Source organism: Homo sapiens, chromosome X, assembly GCF_000001405.40.
Source record: "Homo sapiens chromosome X, GRCh38.p14 Primary Assembly".
In the NCBI taxonomy this organism is placed as follows: Eukaryota; Metazoa; Chordata; class Mammalia; order Primates; family Hominidae; genus Homo; species Homo sapiens.
Window position 1 is genome coordinate 34,412,083 of NC_000023.11, and position 23,669 is coordinate 34,435,751.

Below are 23,669 nucleotides of genomic sequence, written 5' to 3' on the forward strand. Positions count from 1 at the left end.
CATATATTACCCCCCTCCCCCCAGAAAATGGGCTGAATCCAGAGGGCTCAGCAGCAACGGTCTGCAGGCCCCACTTCCACAGCACCTTGCAGGATAAGACCCACGGGCTTGGAACTCTAGTCAGCCACAGGTAGCAGCATTACACCTCCCTAAGACAGAGTTGCCAGAGGCAGAGATGGACCACAATCTTTGCTGTTTCATAGCCTTAGCCATTGTTGCCCTCAAGCTCCGGGGAATACAAGGCAACTAGGGACTGGAGCCATCACCCAACATAGCACTGCTACTCTATGAAGGGCTGTCAGACTGCTTTTTCATGTGAGTCCCAAATCCTGTTTCCCTTCAGAGTAGAATATACCGTCTGAGTTCTACAAACACCTGTACTGGTGGTTTCAGACCCTGGCAGCAGGTCCATACCTCCCTGGGATGGGACTTTCAGGGAAAGGGACAGGCTGCCATCTTTGTTGTTTAGCAGCCTTAGACATTGTTGCCCTTAGACTCTGGGGAATCTAAGGTGACCAGGGACTAGACAGATCACTCAAAACAGCACAGCTACTCTACGAAGAGGCAGCCACACTACTTTTCCATGTGGGTCTCAGACCCTGTTTCTCTTCACTAAATGGAATCTTCCAACTGAGGGCTGCAACCACCCCTGCAGGTGTTTTCAGGCCGACAATAGGTCAGTAATTCCCTGGGACGGGACTCCCAGAGGGAGGGATTGGTGACCATCTTTGCTGTTTTGCAACCTTAGCCATTGTTGCCTTCAGGATTTGGAGAATCTGAGGTGACAGGGGCTGGATCAGACACCCAACACAGCACAGCTGCCCTATGAAAAAGCAGCCAGACTGTTTTTTTTATGCAGGCCTCTGATCCTATTCCTCCTCATTGAGTGGAACCTTCCAACCTGGGTTGCCACGTACCCCCATCAGTGTGTTCAGGAGGGAGGGAAACAACTCTGTACCTCCCTGGGAGGGAGCTCCCAGAGAAAGGGGAAGGCCGACAACTTTGCTGTTTCCCAGGCTTCACTGTTGATACCTTCAGGTACTGGAAAATCCTAGGTGATTAGGGACTGAAGCGACCCCCCCAGCATACTGCAGCAACCCTCCAAAAAAAGTGGCCAGACTGTGTTATCTGGGTCCCAGATCCTGTATCTCCTCACAGGGTGGAGTCTGCTGGGCTGAGTCTCCAGCCACCCCACAATGGGGCTATCAAGCCAGTATCAGCTCTGCAACAACCTGGGACAGAGCTCCCAAAGAATGCACTGGGTTGCCATCTTTGCTGTCTCACAGCCCTCACCCTTACTGTCTTCCAGGCTCTGGAGAGCCTGCAGGGAATATGGGCTGTTCCAAACCACCAGCACAGAGCACCCATCTCACAGAAAAGTGGCCAGACTATTCTCCATGCAGGTCCTGGTCTTCACTTCTTCTCACTGGACAGGGCCACCCAACCTGGGACTCCAGCACAACCACCCTGACCCCGCCTGAGCACCTCAATCAGAGGCAGCCCAACATTTCCCAGAGGAGAAATCCCAGATCAACCCACAATCCCCCTGACACTGCAGTTGCACTGGTACTGACCTAACAGCCCTCAGGCTGAGGAAAGAACAAAGGGTCTAGTCACTACCCTGGCACCTCCAGAACACCACAGTAACCGTACAGAGAGGAGTCCAACTCCTCTTTCTTGGAAACCCTCACCCTTACTCTTCAGCAGGCAGGGTCCCCAGCTCATGACTTCAGAACAGTCACCTCACTCACTGTAGAGCATACCCACTGGCAGTGGCCCAGAGTTTCTGTGGGGAGAGGCTCCAAGAGTCATCCAACAGCCCCTCTGCCACTGCCATGGAGGCAGTTCTATTCCTGCTGCCCTTGGTTTGGGGAAGAAACAAAGAGCCTGAGTGACACACCTAAGCTTACAGCATGCAACAGTCATCATATGAAGAGGAGAGCAGTCTCCTCTCCTCCCAGTGAGGTTAGCCCTTGACCCCCTACTCTCTAACAAGTAAGCCCCAATCTCACATCAGCAGTGCAGCTGCCCCACCCCACTGGCTGAACACTCCCAGTAATAGCAACTCTGCTTTCCTCAGAGATGGAGCCCCAGGGGCAACCAAATGCCCCTCTGCCACTGCCTCTGCTGTGGTACTACCCTGTAACCCTCAGACTAGCAAAGGGTATTGTCCTATCCACACCTCCAACAAGCTGCCATCAACCCAAGGAGAAGAAGCCAGTCTATCTCCCATAGGTCCCATCCACCCCTTCCCTGCTTGTCATCAGGCAGGAAATCCCAAGCTTGGGCCCACAGCACAGACCCTCCACCCTGGATTGATTGCACTGAGCAATTGCTGGCCTGCATTTCTCTCAGGTGGAGCCCTCAGGAGACAAGTAAAAGACCCTTGGCCACAGCTACTGCTAAGGTCCATTCCTCTGCTGCCTCCAAATTGGGGAGAAAACATAAACCCTGAGGTCATCCCAGAGCTGTGGTAGGCAGCCCAGAAGTGCCAAGCTGTGATCTAAAGCCAGCACTCAACTGGGAGAGGAGCCTACACTTTCAGAGCATTGAGAGGGAGCAAGGTTGCAACTCTGAAGAAATATAGGGGAGGCACACAACTGAGCAACAGCATACCAACTGATCACTACACCTAAATGCCACCTACTGGATCACACCCTAAAGCTTCAACACCAAAAATGCCTCGCTAACATACCCCCATCTGAAACCAAAGACAAGAAGCCAGCTTCAAATGAAGACCCTGCACAAAGGCTTGGCCCCGTGAAAACATCCAGAAAAGAAGTCTATTGATTCTACTCAATCTACGCTGAAGTTGAAGAAACACGCACATGCAGAGACAAGAAAGAACCAACACAAGAACTCCAGTAACTCAACTAGACAGAGTGTTGTATGTCCTCCAAATGATCACAGCACTTCTCCAAAAAGAGCTCTTAACCAGGCTAAGGTGGCTGAAATAACAGAAATAAAATTCAGAAGATGGATAAAAATGAAGATCATTGAGATTCAGGAGAATGGCAAAAACCCAATTCAGGGAAACTAAGAATTACAATAAAATGATACAGAAGCTGACAGATGAAATAGTCAATATAAAAAATAACCTGGGATTTGGGAGCCAAGATGGCCGAATAGGAACAGCTCCGGTCTACAGCTCCCAGCGTGAGCGACACAGAAGACGGGTGATATCTGCATTTCCATCTGAGGTACCGGGTTCATCTCACTAGGGAGTGCCAGACACTGGGTGCAGGTCAGTGGGTGTGCGCACCGTGCGCGAGCCAAAGCAGGGAGAGGCATTGCCTCACCTGGGAAGCGCAAGGGGTCAGGGAGTTCCCGAAAATCGGGTCACTCCCACCTGAATACTGCGCTTTTCCGACGGGCTTAAAAAACCGCGCACCAGGAGATTATATCTCACACCTGGCTCGGAGGGTCCTATGCCCACAGAGTCTCGCTGATTGCTAGCACAGCAGTCTGAGATCAAACTGCAAGGCGGCAGCGAGGCTGGGGGAGGGGCGCCCGTCATTGCCCAGGCTTGCTTAGGTAAACAAAGCAGCCTGGAAGCTGGAACTGGGTGGAGCCCACCACAGCTCAAGGAGGCCTGCCTGCCTCTGTAGGCTCCACCTCTGGGGGCAGGGCACAGACAAACAAAAAGACAGCAGTAACCTCTGCAGACTTAAATGTCCCTCTCTGACAGCTTTGAAGAGAGCAGTGGTTCTCCCAGCACGCAGCTGGAGATCTGAGAACCGGCAGACTACCTCCTCAAGTGGGTCCCTGACCCCTGACCCCCGAGCAGCCTAACTGGGAGGCACCCCCCAGCAGGGGCAGACTGACACCTCACACGGCCCGGTACTCCAACAGACCTGCAGCTGAGGGTCCTGTCTGTTAGAAGGAAAACTAACAAACAGAAAGGACATCCACACCAAAAACCCATCTGTACATCACCATCATCAAAGACCAAAAGTAGATAAAACCACAAAGATGGGGAAAAAACAGAACAGAAAAACTGGAAACTCTAAAAAGCAGAGCGCCTCTCCTCCTCCAAAGGAACGCAGTTCCTCACCAGCAACGGAACAAAGCTGGATGGAGAATGACTTTGACGAGCTGAGAGAAGAAGGCTTCAGACGATCAAATTACTCTGAGCTATGGGAGGACATTCAAACCAAAGGCAAAGAAGTTGAAAACTTTGAAAAAAATTTAGAAGAATGTATAACTAGAATAATCAATACTAAGAAGTGCTTAAAGGAGCTGATGGAGCTGAAAACCAAGGCTCAAGAACTACGTGAAGAATGCAGAAGCCTCAGGAGCTGATGCGATCAACTGGAAGAAAGGGTATCAGCGATGGAAGATGAAATGAATGAAATGAACCGAGAAGGGAAGTTTAGAGAAAAAACAATAAAAAGAAACGAGCAAAGCCTCCAAGAAATATGGGACTATGTGAAAAGATCAAATCTACGTCTGATTGGTGTACCTGAAAGTGACGGGGAGAATGGAACCAAGTTGGAAAACACTCTGCAGGATATTATCCAGGAGAACTTCGCCAATCTAGCAAGGCAGGCCAACATTCAGATTCAGGAAATACAGAGAAGGCCACAAACATACTCCTCGAGAAGAGCAACTCCAAGACACATAATTGTCAGATTCACCAAAGTTGAAATGAAGGAAAAATTGTTAAGGGCAGCCAGAGAGAAAGGTCGGGTTACCCTCAAAGGGAAGCCCATCAGACTAACAGCGGATCTCTCGGCAGAAAACCTACAAGCCAGAAGAGAGTGGGGGCCAATATTCAACATTCTTAAAGAAAAGAATTTTCAACCCAGAATTTCATATCCAGCCAAACTAAGCTTCATAAGTGAAGGAGAAATAAAATACTTTACAGACAAGCAAATGCTGAGAGATGTTGTCACCACCAAGCCAGCCCTAAAAGAGCTCCTGAAGGAAGCGCTAAACATGGAAAGGAACAACCGGTACCAGCCGCTGCAAAATCATGCCAAAATGTAAAGACTATCGAGACTAGGAAGAAACTGCATCAATTAACGAGCAAAATAACCAGCTAACATCATAATGACAGGATCAAATTCACACATAACAATATTAACTTTAAATGTAAATGGACTAAATGCTCCAATTAAAAGACACAGACTGGCAAATTGGATAAAGAGTCAAGACCCATCAGTGTTCAGGAAACCCATCTCACGTGCAGAGACACACATAGGCTCAAAATAAAAGGATGGAGGAAGATCTACCAAGCAAATGGAAAACAAAAAAAGGCAGGGGTTGCAATCCTAGTCTCTGATAAAACAGACTTTAAACCAACAAAGATCAAAAGAGACAAAGAAAGCCATTACATAATGGTAAAGGGATCAATTCAACAAGAAGAGCTAACTACCCTAAATATATATGCACCCAATACAGGAGCACCCAGATTCATAAAGCAAGTCCTGAGTGACCTACAAAGAGACTTAGACTCCCACACATTAATAATGGGAGACTTTAACACCCCACTGTCAATATTAGACAGATCAACGCGACAGAAAGTTAACAAGGATACCCAGGAATTGAACTCAGCTCTGCACCAAGCGGACCTAATAGACATCTACAGAACTCTCCACCCCAAATCAACAGAATATACATTTTTTTCAGCACCACACCACACCTATTCCAAAATTGACCACATAGTTGTAAGTAAAGCTCTCCTCAGCAAATGTAAAAGAACAGAAATTATAACAAACTATCTCTCAGACCACAGTGCAATCAAACTAGAACTCAGGATTAATAATCTCACTCAAAACTGCTCAACTACATGGAAACTGAACAACCTGCTCCTGAATGACTACTGGGTACATAATGAAATGAAGGCAGAAATAAAGATGTTCTTTGAAACCAACGAGAACAAAGACACAACATACCAGAATCTCTGGGACACATTCAAAGCAGTGTGTAGAGGGAAATTTTTAGCACTAAATGCCCACAGGAGAAAGCAGGAAAGATCCAAAATTGACACCCTAACATCACAATTAAAAGAACTAGAAAAGCAAGAGCAAACACATTCAAAAGCTAGCAGAAGGCAAGAAATAACTACAATCAGAGCAGAACTGAAGGAAATAGAGACACAAAAAACCCTTCAAAAAATTAATGAATCCAGGAGCTGGTTTTTTGAAAGGATCAACAAAATTGATAGACCACTAGCAAGACTAATAAAGAAAAAAAGAGAGAAGAATCAAATAGACGCAATAAAAAATGATAAAGGGGATATCACCACCAATCCCACAGAAATACAAACTACCATCAGAGAATACTACAAACACCTCTACGCAAATAAACTAGAAAATCCAGAAGAAATGGATAAATTCCTCGACACATACACCCTCCCAAGACTAAACCAGGAAGAAGTTGAATCTCTGAATAGACCAATAACAGGAGCTGAAATTGTGGCAATAATCAATAGCTTACCAACCAAAAAGAGTCCAGGACCTGATGGATTCACAGCCGAATTCTACCAGAGGTACAAGGAGGAAATGGTACCATTCCTTCTGAAACTATTCCAATCAATAGAAAAAGAGGGAATCCTCCCTAACTCATTTTATGAGGCCAGCATCATCCTGATACCAAAGCCTGGCAGAGACACAACCAAAAAAGAGAATTTTAGACCAATATCCTTGATGAACATTGATGCAAAAATCGTCAATAAAATACTGGCAAACCGAATCCAGTAGCACATCAAAAAGCTTATCCACCATGATCAAGTGGGCTTCATCCCTGGGATGCAATGCTGGTTCAATATATGCAAATCAATAAATGTAATCCAGCATATAAACGGAACCAAAGACAAAAACCACATGATTATCTCAATAGATGCAGAAAAGGCCTTTGACAAAATTCAACAACCCTTCATGCTAAAAACTCTCAATAAATTAGGTATTGATGGGACATATTTCAAAATAATAAGAGCTATCTATGACAAACCCACAGCCAATATCATACTGAATGAGCAAAAACTGGAAGCATTCCCTTTGAAAACTGGCACAAGACAGGGATGTCCTCTCTCACCACTCCTATTCAACATAGTGTTGGAAGTTCTGGCCAGAGCAATTAGGCAGGAGAAGGAAATAAAGGGTATTCAACTAGGAAAAGAGAAAGTCAAATTGTCCCTGTTTGCAGATGACATGATTGTATATCTAGAAAACCCCATTGTCTCAGCTCAAAATCTCCTTAAGCTGATAAGCAACTTCAGCAAAGTCTCAGGATACAAAATCAGTGTACAAAAATCACAAGCATTCTTACACACCAACAACAGACAAACAGAGAGCCAAATCATGAGTGAACTCCCATTCACAATTGCTTCAAAGAGAATAAAATACCTAGGAATCCAACTTACAAGGGATGTGAAGGACCTCTTCAAGGAGAAGTACAAACCACTGCTCAATGAAATAAAAGAGGATACAAACAAATGGAAGAACATTCCATGCTCATGGGTAGGAAGAATCAATATAGTGAAAATGGCCATACTGCTGAAGGTAATTTACAGATTCAATGCCATCCCCATCAAGCTACCAATGACTTTCTTCACAGAATTGGAAAAAACTACTTTAAAGTTCATATGGAACCAGAAAAGAGCCCGCATCGCCAAGTCGATCCTAAGCTGAAAGAACAAAGCTGGAGGTATCACGCTACCTGACTTCAAACTATACTACAAGGCTACAGTAACCAAAACAGCATGGTAATGGTACCAAAACAGAGATATAGATCAATGGAACAGAACAGAGCCCTCAGAAATAATGCCGCATATCTACAACTATCTGATCTTTGACAAACCTGAGAAAAGCAAGCAATGGGGAAAGGATTCCCTATTTAATAAATGGTGCTGGGAAAACTGGCTAGCCATATGTAGAAAGCTGAAACTGGATCCCTTCCTTACACCTTTTACAAAAATGAATTCAAGATGGATTAAAGATTTAAACGTTAGACCTAAAACCATAAAAACCATAGAAGAAAACCTAGGCATTACCATTCAGGACATAGGCATGGGCAAGGACTTCATATCTAAAACACCAAAAGCAATGGCAACAAAAGACAAAATTGACAAATGGGATCTAATTAAACTAAAGAGCTTCTGCACAGCAAAAGAAACTACCATCAGAGTGAACAGGCAACCTACAGAATGGGAGAAAATTTTCGCAACCTACTCATCTGACAAAGGGCTAATATCCAGAATCTACAATGAACTCAAACAAATTTACAAAAAAAAACAAACAACCCCATCAAAAAGTGGGCAAAGGATATGAACAGACACTTCTCAAAAGAAGACATATATGCAGCCAAAAAACACATGAAAAAATGCTCATCATCACTGGCCATCAGAGAAATGCAAATCAAAACCACAATGAGATACCATCTCACACCAGTTAGAATGGCGATCATTAAAAAGTCAGGAAACAACAGGTGCTGGAGAGGATGTGGAGAAATAGGAACACTTTTACACTGTTGGTGGGACTGTAAACTAGTTCAACCATTGTGGAAGTCAGTGTGGCGATTCCTCAGGGATCTAGAACTACAAATACCATTTGACCCAGCTATCCCATTACTGGGTATATACCCAAAGGACTATAAATCATGCTGCTATAAAGACACATGCACACGTATGTTTATTGTGGCATTATACACAATAGCAAAGACTTGGAACCAACCCAAATGTCCAACAATGATAGAGTGGATTAAGAAAATGTGGCACATATACACCATGGAATACTATGCAGCCATAAAAAATGATGAGTTCATGTCCTTTGTAGGGACATGGATGAAATTGGAAATCATCATTCTCAGTAAACTATCACAAGAACAAAAAGCCAAACACCGCATATTCTCACTCATAGGTGGGAATTGAATGGTGAGAACACATGGACACAGAAAAGGGAACATCACACTCTGGGGACTGTTGTGGGGTGGGGGGAGGGGGGAGGGATGGCATTGGGAGATATACCTAATGCTAGATGACGAGTTAGTGGGTGCAGCGCACCAGCAAGGCACATGTATACATATGTAACTAACCCGCACATTGTGCACATGTACCCTAAAACTTAAAGTATAATAATAATAAATAAATAAATAAATAAATAAATAAAAATAACCTAACTGATCTGAGAGAGGTGAAAAACACACTACAAGAATTTCACAATGCAATTGCAAGTATTAGCAGCAGAAAAGAGAAAGTTGAGAGAAGAATCTCAGAACTTGAAGACTAGCTTTCTGAAATAAGAAAATTAGGCAAAAATAAAGAAAAAGGAATGAAAAGGAATGAACAAAACCTCCAAGAAATATGGGATTATGTAAAGAGGCAAAATCTATGATTCATTGGCACCCTGAAAAGAACAGTAAGAAAGCAAATAATTTGGAAAATATATTTCAGGATCTCATCCATGAAAACATCCGCAACTTTGCTAGAGAGGCCAACAGTCAAATTCAGGAAATACAGAGAACCCCTGCAAGATACTACCCAACAAGATCATCCCCAAAACACATAATCATCAGATTTTCTAAGGTCAAAATGAAAAAAAAAATTAAAGGCAGCTAGAGAGAAAGAGAAGATTTCTTACAAAGGGAATATCATCAGGCTAGAAGCAAACCTCTCATCAGATACTCTAAAAGTCAGAAGAGATTAGGGGCTTTTATTCAACTTTCTTAAAGAAAAAAGATCTTCAACAAAGAATTTCATATCCAGCCAAACTAAGCTTCATCAGTGAAGGAGAAATAAGATCCTTTTCAGATAAGCAAATGCTGAGGCAGTTGGTTACCATCAGACCAACCTTACAAGAGATCTTAAAAGGAGTAATAAATATAGAAAGGGAAGACCATTATCTGCCACTACAAAAACACACTTACATACACAGACCAGTGTTTCTATAAGGCAGCCACACAAAGAAGCTGGTATAATAACTAGATAAAAATACAATGACAAGATCAAATTCACACATATCAATACTAACCTTGAATGTAAATAGGCTAAATGCCCCATTGAATAGCCATAGAGTGGCAAGCTGGATAAAAAAGCAAGAATCAATGGTATGCTGTCTTTAAGAGATTCATCTCACACTCAATGACACCCATAGGCTCAAAATAAAAGGAAGGAGAAAAATCTACCAGGCAAATAGAAATGATAAAAAATCAATGGTTGAAATCCTAATTTCAGAGAAACAATTTAATTTGACAAAGGTCAAAAAAGACAAAAAAGGGCGTTGCATAATGGAAAAGTTTCAATTCAACAAGAAGTCCTAACTATTCTAAATGTATGCACCCAACACAGGAGCATCCAGATTCATAAAGCAAGTTCTTAGAGACCTTCAAAGAGACTTAGACTCTCACACAATAATAGTGGGAAACTTCAACACCCCAGACAGTATTAGACAGAACATCAAGGCAGAAAATTAATCAAGATATTCAGGATCTGAATTCATCAGTGGAACAAATGGATCTGATAAGCTTCTATAGAACTCTACCCCAAAACAACAGAATATACATTGTTCGTATCACCACATGGAATATACTCTAAAATTGACCTTCAATCAGACATAAAACAATCCTCAGCAAATGCAAAAGAACTGAAATCATACCAAACATATTCTTGAACTACAGCACAATAAAAAATAAATAAAGACTAAACAAATCGCTCTAAACCACACGACTACATGGAAATTATACAACTTGCTCCTGAATGACTTTTGGGTGAATCATGAAATTAAGGGAGGAATCAAGAATTTCTTTGAAACTAATGAGAAAAAAAATACAACATACCAGTATCTCTGGGATATAGCTCAGGCAGTGTTAATGAGGGAAGTGTATAGCACAAAACACTCACATCAAAAAGTTAGAAAGATCTCAAAGTAACAACCTAACATCATAATGAAAGGAACTAGAGAAACAAGAGCAAATCAACCCCAAAGCTATCAGAAAACAAGACATAACCAAAATCAGAACTGAACTGAAGGAAATCGACACACAAAGAAAGCATTCAAAAGATCAATGAACCCAGGAGTTGGACTTTTGAAAAAAATAGTAAGATAGATAAGCTGCTAGCTAGACTAATAAAGAAGAAAAGAGAGAATATCCAAATAAACATGATCATTAACAACAGAAGGTATATTACCATTGACCCCAAAGAAGTACAGATAACCCCCAGAGAGTATTATTAACGCCTGTATGCACACAAACTAGAAAACCTGGAAGAGATGGATAAATTCCTGGACACACAAACCTTCCCAAGACTGAACCAGGAAGAAATTGATTCCCTGAACAGACAAAAAGTGAGCTCCTAAGTAGGATTCAGTAATAAATAGCCTACCAACCAAAAGAAGCCAGGGGCCAGATGAATTTACAGCCAAATTCTACCAGATGTACAAAGAAGAGCCGATAACGTTCCTACTGAAAACATTCCAAAAACTTGAGAAAGAGGACTCCTCCCCAACGCATTCTATGAGGCCAGCATCATCCTGATACAAAAACTTTGCAGAAGCAAAACAACAACAACAACAACAAACTTCAGGCAGATATCCTTGATGAACATTCATGCAAAAATCCTCAAACACACACACACACACACACACACACACACACACACACACACAAACTCACAAACTGAATCCAGCCGAGTAGCACATCAAAAATCTTATTTACCTATCCCAGCACTTTGGGAGGCCAAGGCAGGCAGATCAGGAGGCCAGGAGTTTGAGACCAGCCTGGCCAACACAGTGAAACCCCGTCTCTACTAAAAATACAAAAATTAACTGGGCGTGGTGGTGGGTGCCTGTAATCCCAGCTACTCGGAAGGCTGAGGCAGGAGAATCGCTTGAACTTGGGAGGCAGAGGTTGCAGTGAGCCCAGATCATGCCACTGAGCCTGGGTGAAAGAGTTAGACTCCATCTCAAAAAAAAAAAAAGCTTATTTCCACGATCAAGTAGGCTTTATTCCTGGATGCAAGGCTGGTTGAACATATGCAAATCAATGAACCCGATTCATCACATAAACAGAACTGAAGACAAAAACATGATCATCTCAATAGATGCAGAAAAGGTTTTTGATAAAATTCAACATTTCTTCATGTAAAAAATTCTCAACAAACTAGATATTGAAGGAACATACCTCAAAATGATAAGAGCCATCTATGACAAATCCACAGCCAAATTCATACTGAAAGGGCAACAGCCTTCTTTTGAGAAGTGTCTGTTCATATCCTTTGCCCACTTTTTGATGGGGTTGTTTGGTTTTTTCTTTTTTTTTTATTATTATACTTTAAGTTTTAGGGTACATGTGCACAACGTGCAGGTTTGTTACATATGTATACATGTGCCATGTTGGTGTGCTGCACCCATTAATTCGTCATTTAACATTAGGTATATCTCCTAATGCTATCCCTTCCCCCTCCCCCTACCCCGCAACAGGCGCCAGAGTGTGATGTTCCCCTTCCTGTGATGCAGCCAAAAAACACATGAAAAAATGCTCATCATCACTGGCCATCAGAGAAATGCAAATCAAAACCACAATGAGATACCATCTCACACCAGTTAGAATGGCAATCATTAAAAAGTCAGGAAACAACAGGTGCTGGAGAGGATGTGGAGAAATAGGAACACTTTTACACTGTTGGTGGGACTGTAAACTAGTTCAACCATTGTGGAAGTCAGTGTGGCGATTCCTCAGGGATTTAGAACTAGAAATACCATTTGACCCAGCTATCCCGTTACTGGGTATACACCCAAAGGATTATAAATCATGCTGCTATAAAGACACATGCACACGTATGTTTATAGCGGCACTATTCACAATAGCAAAGACTTGGAACCAACCCAAATGTCCAACAATGATAGACTGGATGAAGAAAATGTGGCACATATACACCATGGAATACTATGCAGCCATAAAAAAGGATGAGTTCATGTCCTTTGTAGGGACATGGATGAAACTGGAAACCATCATTCTCAGCAAACTATCACAAGGACAAAAAACCAAACACGGCATGTTCCCACTCATAGGTGGGAATTGAACAATGAGAACACATGGTTGTTTTTTTCTTGTAAATTTGTTGGAGTTCACTGTAGATTCTGGATATTAACCCTTTGTCAGAAGAGTAGATTGCAAAAATTTTCTCCCATTCTGTAGGTTGCCTGTTCACTCTGATGGTAGTTTCTTTTGCTGTGCAGAGGCTCTTTAGTTTAATTAGATCCCATTTGTCAATTTTGGCTTGTGTTGCCATTGCTTTTGGTGTTTTAGACATGAAGTCCTTGCCCATGCCTATGTCCTGAATGGTATTGCCTAGGTTTTCTTCTAGGGTTTTTATGGTTTTAGGTCTAACATTTAAGTCTTTAATCCATCTTGAATTAATTTTTGTATAAGGTGTAAGGAAGGGATCCAGTTTCAGCTTTCTACATATGGCTAGCCAGTTTTCCCAGCACCATTTATTAAATAGAGAATTGTTTCCCCATTTCTTGTTTTTGTCAGGTTTGTCAAAGATCAGATGGTTGTAGATATGCAGCATTATTTCTGAGGGCTCTGTTTTGGAACCAAGCCAAATATCCAACAATGATAGACTGGATTAAGAAAATGTGGCACATATACACCATGGAATACTATGCAGCCATGAAAAATGATGAGTTCTTGTCCTTTGTAGGGACAGGGATGAAGCTGAAAACCATCATTCTCAGCAAACTATGGCAAGGACAAAAAACCAAACACCGCATGTTCTCACTCACAGGTGGGAATTGAACAATGAGAACACGTGGACACAGGAAGGGGAACATCACACACCGGGGCCTGTTGGGGGGTGGGGGGAGGGGGGAGGGATAGCATTAGGAGATATGCCTAATGTTAAATGACCAGTTAATGGGTGCAGCACACCAACATGGCACATGTATACATATGTAACTAACCTGCACGTTGTGCACATGTACCCTAAAACTTAAAGTATAATAAAAAAAGGACAGTTAAATAAGCTGAAAATAAATCAGAGAAAATTATAATGAGATGAAATTAGAATGTGAATGATAAAGAAATGAAGTACAAAATTAGAAGGTCTGCATTTATCTAATAATATTTCTAAAAGGTGAAACTGGAGTAAACGTATTCATTATTTGAAGAAATAGTTGGTAAGCATTTTATCATAGGTGACATTAGAATTAAATATTCAGAATTAAGCAGGACATGGAATCTCCAGTAAAATAAATGAAAACAAATATATGACTATACAACTGTATCAGAACCCTCCCATCAGCCTCATTCTTCTCTTGTTCCAGTGTTTACTGGGCTCTGGCAGCCTTCTCATATAGACCACTTGAGAATGTCTAACTTACTGTTCATAGCTTCCCCAAATCTACCTTCTCCTTTACTCTCTTCTCACTCCAGCAGGTGCTCTTGCTGCCAAAGCAACCCTCACAGTGTTCCCACAGGCTGAGCCAGTGGAAGGATTCTTGCTCCTTTCTCCACACTGCCTCCCCATGGTTTTGAGATGCATTTTCTAGGACTTCTAGGAGTTTTGATCAAGATCCAGCTTGATCATACATTCTCACATTGGATCACCCTCCTTCCCTGCCTTAGCACTCTTGCCCTGCAATCCTGGTCACTTTGATTATATTCCCCAATAAAGTAATAGCACTTAAATTTTTGTCTCAGGCTCTGCTTTCTGGGGAACCAAGGCTAAAAAACAGCTGATGAACCACAGTACATTAATAGCAAAGAGAAAAGTCTAAAAAGCAATTTGGAAGAAATACAATACCAAATAGGAAGAGCAATTAGACTGGTAGTAATTGTCCCATTATTACCAATAGAAGCAAGAATATAATTGAAAAATATTATCCTCAAAGTGCCAAAAGAAATTACCACTATATATAAAATACAATACTCAACAACCATATTAGAAAATGAAAGAAAAGACACTTTCAGACAAAGGCAGCTATTTTTACCTAGACTCTCATGGGTAGAACTTCTAAGGAATAGGTTTCTATAGAAAAGAATTAAGTTTACAGGAGACAGTGGGATTAAAGAAACAATGGTAGACAAAGAAATGGATATACGTGTACATAAATCCAAGATGGATTAAATGTTAAACATCACATAATTGAGTGACTAAGTTGGAGGCAGATTTAAAAATACAGTGCAATTAAGTTCCAGACAATAACTACATGGAAGATAAAATAAACTATGATCAGAATGCTTTTAATTTCTCATTTTTTCTGGATATTGTACAGATATTAAACGTAAGACTGTGATAATTCAAGTATGAATGTCAGCACTCTAACCACTAAATATCTGGCATTTAGAATAGGTAACCTTCATATTTGTTGAGGGAAAAATTGTTGAATGAGAAATTCAAGTTACAAAAAACATACTATTCACGCAAAGTCAAAACACACATAACCAGAATAAATATCGTTTGTAACTGCAAAAAAAGTCTTCGTGTAAAAAATATGGATGGTAGAATATAGTCAAATCTTAAGCAGTGTATAACTCTGAGCAGGAAGGGAAATGCTATGAATGTTAAGGGCTGTCAAACGTATAACTAATATTTTATTTCTAAAACAAAAGTTATCAATCAAATATAGAAAAATCACATCTTAAATCAGGGTTTTGGATAGACTGGTGGTTTTCTGTTGTTTTTTTTTGTACGTTCGAGACAGTTTGTAATAAGCAAGTGTTAAAAATTGATAATAGATTTGTGTTATTTATTAACTCATTAACTCTTATATCATGCTTTCTCTTCTCCTCCTTTGACAAGTCTTTCTTCTCTCCTCTTTCTCCTTATTTATCACTAGTACAAAATCTTGTACATGGCACACAGTAAGCACACATTAAATATTTGTTGATATGAATAATGTATGTGAATGTACTTTGCAAAGTAAAACCATTATCATAAGTATAATCTCCTCACAAAAATAGCATAATTTCCTCCAAGAAGTGAACTGCTGTAAGCTGTGTAATATTCTATGGAGTATCTCAAAATTAAAAGATGTAAAAATTATGTGTACTATATTCCCAAACGTATACTAAATAATATTAAAGTTGAAAAAATTTGACTAACATCAGTATATTAGCTAAAACTTTTAAAAATAAATGTCCTACCAAATTGCTAGATTCCAGAAAGCTGCAGACTAGAGCACTTTCTTAAATGTGATTCTGATAAAATTCCTGTAGACCTACTTTTGCAAACAAACATTTCTGTAGTGAAACTGTTACTATATATCACTGGATAAACCACAGCATATACGAATAAACTAACTATTTATTGCTACACAATTATATATAACTTATGTGGAAGACTATTAAGTATCCTAGTATACAAAGGCAATCTATTAATCTAAGAGTATAATTTATAAAAGAGGTGAGAATAGATACCTTATTGTTATGCCAGAATAAATGCTATCAGAATTGCACTTGAGGTACTATTATAAAGTAGGACACTTGCTGGAAGAGAAAACAAATTATCAAGTGTGGGAGGCAAAAGAAAGAATAATGAAAATTTTAACCTCTTTCCACAGAATTGTGGGCAATATATGCTTTAGCAAAGGAACTAAAATGACAAAAAATCGTTTTTTTAAAAAATATTTTATTTCTGGTTACTAGGTTCTGCCAGAGCACTTCTAACCAAATATATACATGTGTGTATATAGATGTATATGTATATAAATCATGGCCAAATCATATGTATATGTATGTATATATACATATATACATACATATATATACATATACATATGATTTGGTCATGATTTTTAAAGTAATGTGTTTTTTTCAAAAATTGCAGTATTTCACAGAATATAAACACATAATATTTTGCCCAATGTTATCTGAGATTTAATAAAAACTATCATTATCTAATGTCCTCATAATGAGATTCTATACTATGCAAGAACAAAACAGAATTGAAAGAATATATTAATATCCACATGTTATAGTTAGTACAACCAGGGTGGCACATTCATAAGAGATGATCTCAAGACCCACAAATATACCTGCATTCACAGACCTCAATCTACTCTAGCATTAGTTTCACCACCCCATTTAAAAATATTGTGAACCTTTCTCAAAAGTCTACTCTAAGTCAAACTCTCTTTCACAGTCAACTAAGATATCACATACTTATTTCATGGACACCAAGGGAGAATTGAACTCTGGTATCAAAATATGCTTTGAGTCCACTGAGAGACTCTTTTAGAGCCATAGTCTATATACATAATAAAAACTGTGAGTTGATAATCACAACATAAAACTCATTTGGTGTTTAAGCCTACAGTGTTTCCTTGAAATTGATGTTCTATGGATCTTTATTATATTAATATTACTGGAAAAGAGATAAAAATTTTAAACTATATTATGCTTCATAAAAACACGTACAGTTGGCAAAGTGTATAAACAAGTCAAATCTTTTCATTTGTATTTTATGTTTTACATTTTTAGAAAAGTTTCAAACTCAAATAAAAGTTGATGGACAAGTGAAATAAATGAACATCCCAATTATTGTTATGTCCCAATTGTTATAGTGCAATATCACCACAACAATTCCATCTTTCTCTACACACACACACGCACAAACACACACACATGCACATGCCTCTCTTTTATCAAACAATCTGAAATTAGGTTGAGGACGTCATATTTCACCCTGTCTACTTCATTATTCCTCTCCCTTGTATTAAGGATCCTTTATACATGTCCATTACCACACTTTAAAAAATTAACATTAGATCAATACTATTATTCACTATACTAAAACTTTCCTCATTTGCACTCTGATCAAAATGCACATTTGTACATAGCTTTTTTCTTTTCCCCCATGATCCAATTGATTTATTCAACCATATTTTTTTTGCTATAATGGCTCTTTAGGTTCCTGTGATCTGCAGGTGTTAATCTGCTGTCCTCTACTTTTAATGGCACCAAGTCCTTTGCAGAGTCAAGGCCAGTTGTTCTTCAGTATATTCCACCTTCAGGATTCATCTGAATGTTTCCCTATGTTTAGATTGAGATCAAATATTTATGACAAAGACATCACATAGATGATGTTATGAAACTTTCACTACATCTCATCAATAGGCATATAATATGAGAATATAACACTATTAGTGATTTACGAGGTGACTACCAGTCTTTCCATTGTAAAGTCATAGTTTCCATCTATAAATAGTAATTAATTAAAGGGATGGTGAATATATTGTTCTCCATACTTTCTTACCATATAGTTTTAGCCATTGATCCTCATATGAATCTATTTTGACATCAAGGGTTACAAAATACCAAGTTTCTAATTCTGAAATTTCTTTAATATTTATTTGCTGAGATCATTTGGTAAGGAAGAATATCTCCTATTTTTTCTATTTCTCTCACTTCTTCTTAAATGCATTATGAATATTTCTTTGCTTATTCATGGAAATTTTTAATTAGTTCATTTAATATCATTCTTGTCTTTAATGGTCACATAGTACAAAATTTATCCATTAAATTCACCCTCAAACTAGCTCCCGGATCCTTTGAATGTGGTTCCATTTGTGTTTGAGCACTTCCTTACATTCTGGTTCACCTTGTACTTCCTCTGTTCTTTCCTATAATCAGTCATCTCTCCAAGGAACCTTCATTCCTTTCCTTTCAGCAAGAATTTATTTTTAGAAATCAAGATCTCAGTGTTATTTATACTCTTTGGTACTGGCACGTCAACATGTTAAAGCCTTACAATTATTTCTAACTCTTTTTCACCCTAATTATTTTCTAGAGTTAGAATATAATTGTTATATTGAGATGCAGTGTTTTTTTTTTTTAAAAAAAAACAACAATCGACACAATTAAGGGAGGGTGATATATTTTGATTCTGCATTATTCCTTTGTTTCTCTAGGAGCTCTAATCTCCTCCACTTGCTTTATTCTTTCTCTTAATTTTCAAAGTCCAAGGAATGCCCATCCCTTTCCAAGTTGCTCCCTTTCCTCCAGAATCACTGTCTTCCTATGACTGTTACCTCTGATCCTATATTTTCAGGTCCCTTCCTTTGAATTCTCAGTAGCCAATATTCTGATCCTTCTTATCCTATACCTCTTATACCTGTTCTTAGTATTTTCCCTCTCAGGGTAGGACCTCATTTTTTTTTTTTTTTTTTACCATTTCAGAGAGAGAATTGTAGGTTTTATTGACTAAGAAGGTAAAGGGATGCAAATTACTTATACAGGTTTTAATTCCAGACAACAGAATAGTGGCTATTAGCAATAAAATCAGTGAGTATTCTGAACATGTTCAATTTCCAGGTAGGGGATTTTATTGGAAATATGGATCTAGAGCTAGTAGAAGAAGCTATATTTAGGAGTCATCCACAAAGAAGCTTGAGAAACAAATGAAAGTGTATATTGAGAAGTGCGTAGAGAACAATGTTAAGGGGGCTGTGGGGAAAAAACAACATTTAGAAGATAACTGAAGGAAATCATAGAGGACAAAAAGTACAATCTAATTTTTCTCCCTGACTGAGTGAAAAACCACTTTTAATACTATTGTAATAAGAATTTATTATGACCTCTTCATGATACTGCCATTTTTTTTCAATCTCAACAATCATCATCACATCCCAGAGCTATCTCATGACAAGAGCTTTCTAAATACTAATTGCCTGAACACTGAAGAAAATTAGTATCTGATACTAAGGTGTAACTTCTCTGTAATTCAAAAAAGGGAGGCCTTCTGTTCTTGAAATATTCAAACTAAACAGGACAATTTTACCTGAAGCTGTTCTCACAACCCTATTTTTCAGCATTATAAGTTTGCTAATGGACAAACATGCTCATAACTGAAATATTTAAATTATGTAAAAGTATAACTCTACAACCTGCAGAACTAACATTTGATGCATTTTTCCTGGTCTTTCAATGCTAAGTTTTTATTGCGTGTATGTAAATATCATTTATTGAAGGCTTACTAAATACCAAACCCTGTGTTAAAACACTGTCTTAGGACCTCCTTTTTCTAAGGGAAATTTATCTGTGTTTTGGCACTACTACTATACTGCTGCATGTTCCTGATTTTCAAGCAGTCTCATCTGGATCTCTTCAGCCTGGGCTCCAGAGCAGAATCTGCTGGTTTCATGTTTTTCTTCTCCCTAGCATATATAAACTCAAGTTGTACTGCTCTTTGACCTTTAATTATGCTGTTGGCATAAGATTTATATGGTTTTATTTGCTTTCCTTGTTGACCTCTGGAGCATGTGTAGAAATATTAGGATTTAAGAAGCTGCTGTTGTTCTACAGGAATTCAGAGGTCTGAAACAACCACTTTATGTTTGAAATTATTTTTATGTTTTATTTAAATTTTTAACTTGCATTGCATGTGGAGTTATTGTTCACTCAAAAAAGAGGAAGGGCTTTAAAAACACAAACAATATAATTGCAAGATTCACAATAATATTATTTTTAATTAGAGAAGGGCTTATGTCTCTGAACCAAGTTACTTTTATTTTTGAGGTTCACTTACACTGCTCTGAAAATTCTAAAATCAAAAACAAATTTAAGAATGGAAGAGTATTTTTTCATAATTTCTTCTGTCTAGCACTTCTGAATTAACTAAGAAATCACTTATGTGCCTACTGAATAATGATGTGTTAGACATCAAAAATTAATTTTAATCAGTTTCTCATTTATTTTTCCGTTTCGTATAGTGTTCAGATGGTTAGACTGTTTTTAGATGCCTGCCTTCTTTTTAACTAAGAAATAGTAAATCAAGTGAGAGTACAAAAAGAAAACAAATGACACTGGGAAAGATTATAGCATCTAATTGAACAGAAGAAAACCTAGGAACTTATCAAAGTCATTTAAAATTTCCAATCAGCCATTACCAATATCTTCTTAAAGTTTAATAAGTGTGTTTTCCATTTTGCCAGCCAGGTCATTAATGATCAATTCTCTCACTCCCCACACTGGTTTACAAGCTACAATGATATTGCAGTGTTTGTTAGTAGGACTACAAAAAGTAGAATCAAGATAATGTCAATCCTGCTATACACCACAGCCATTATACGCTGCTTTGGGCAAGAGAGAGTGGGGTGGGGAAGGGTGAGCACTGGGGAAAGGGGATTACCTTAAGTAGATAAGTATACAGCAAACAATAAGTAGTTAAAATAAATACAAGTTTTTATCTACTTGAATTTCTGGTCCCATATCCCAATGCAGTAAATGCTGGTAATCTGAAACAGACCACATAGGATGCTCTACCTTTTCTAAAGTAGTTAGGCTTAAATAGCTTTATGTCAAAGCAGGCCATACTCTGTTTTAATTCTTCTGTAATTTATTCAACAAAAATGTGAGTTTAAAATGTGATCGGTTCTATACTATAAGCTAAAATATTCTTTGTTTATACTTTTCCAAAGCTTACAGTCTATTGGAAAGGAAGCAATGAAACAATAATACCAAATACATGCAATTAAAAATATTGACAAGTTTTCATGTGAAAAATGTGCTATTTTGAGACACACAAATATAACAGCAGTCATGATTTAGATGAGGGATTGGAGTAGATCTCCTTAAAGGTATCCTGAGAATAGGAGTTAGCCTAAGGGAGAACAGGTAAGCAGGAATGGGGATGACATGGCAGGCGTTCACACTTCAGCTTCCTTACTTTCTAATTTGGAGCTGTGTGAAAACAAGAGACAGAAGAAAAACGAGCAATAACAAAATGGCCTGTATTTAACAGAGTAGCTCATTGGTTTGACCAATGCTCTAGCCATTTTGGTGAAATGGATAGAACCACTTTGATGAACTAAAATTTTAACACAGCATCCACTTCCCAAAGTAAGTAAGGCTTATTCATTCTAAAGAATGCCTAGACTATCCTCCTCTTTTTGGAGGTGTTATGTGAGGGATTAGAAAATGGTCAGAGAGTAGCTTTGAATTACTTCTCGTGGAAGCAACATGCCTGATTTTGAGCAGATGGTCTCTCAGAAAGAAACATCTAGAAGCATCCTTCACATTTCTGGTCCTTCCTTAATTGTCTGCAGTCACATCTCCTTCTCCTTCTTGTCCCACTGAAGACAGTATTCTTTTTTTATTTATTTTATTTTTTTATTATACTTTAAGTTTTAGGGTACATATGCACAATGTGCAGGTTAGTTACATATGTATATATGTGCCATGTTGGTGTGCTGCACCCATTAACTCGTCATTTAACATTAGGTATATCTCCTAATGCTATCCCTCCCCCCATCCCCCACCCCACAACAGGCCCCAGTGTGTGAGTTCCCCTTCCTGTGACCATGTGTTCTCATTGTTCAATTCCCACCTATGAGTGAGAACATGCCGTGTTTGGTTTTTTGTTCTTGCAATAGTTTGCTGAGAATGATGGTTTCCAGCTTCATCCATGTCCCTCGAAAGGACAAGAACTCATCATTGTTTATGGCTGCATAGTATTCCATGGTGTATATGTGCCACATTTTCTTCATCCAGTCTATCATTGTTGGACATTTGGGTTGGTTCCAAGTCTTTGCTATTGTGAATAGTGCTGCAATAAACATACGTGTGCATGTGTCTTTATAGCAGCATGATTTATAATACTTTGGGTATATTCCCAGTAATGGGATGGCTGGATCAAATGGTATTTCTAGTTCAAGATCCCTGAGGAATCACCACACTGACTTCCACAATGGTTGAACTAGTTTACAGTCCCACCAACAGTGTAAAAGTGTTCCTATTTCTCCACATCCTCTCCAGCACCTGTTGTTTCCTGACTTTTTAATGATCGCCATTCTAACTGGTGTGAGATGGTATGTTTTAGACTGATAATCCTTCCACCTGTCTTCTAGATTTCATATATTATCATTTCTTCAAGGACATGGCTTCATCAGACTCATGTTCCATTATCTTCTCCCCCTCTACTGGTTCTTTCACCTTCAACAATTAAGAAAATATTCATTTAAACTACCAAAATCTTCAAAAACAACTCTTCTTTAATTCTGCATCTTCCCCACCCTGCTACCACCATCAACAGCAATCTCACCACTCCTTTCATGCACTTTATTCCTCAGTTTCTTTGGAAAGTAATATAAGCTCTGTACCTCTACTTCTTAATCCCTATGCATTTCTCAACTTACTGGAATTTAAATTATTCTCTAGTCACTCCACTAATAAAAGCAATCACTGCTATCAACAAGGTCATCTAATTTTTCAAATCCAGTTGTAACTTTTCTGGGATCATTTTACATGACCTCTGAAATCCCCAGAATTGTTGGTCACCTCCATTTCCCTGAAATTCCTTTCTCCTTTGATTTCTATGACCCCTCTAAAGATGTTCCTTGCTTATCTTTCCCCTCTGCAAGATCTTCTTTTGGTGCTTTCCAGAGCTTACTTAAAGCTTTTCAAATACATGTATATTTGGAAAATAAATGTTGTTCAGTAAGTGCTTCCAATCTTTTCTCTTCTGTCTTTCAACAAAAGAGGTTCTGACTGCTCTTTATTAGTCTTTCTGTTGCCATCAGCTCTCTGAAAGGAGACAGACTTTCACAACATATTTTTTTTTTATTCTAGTCCACATTGAATTAGGGAAAGAGGAAGAAGTAAACAAATAAGAGAAATATATTCTTGCTTAAGAAATAGTTATTGGCAGAGTGTCTAGAGAGGATAACAGAGAAGATTAGGGTTCAATTAAAAAGTTTGGAAAAGCTAAGCTAAAAATAATTGTTTGG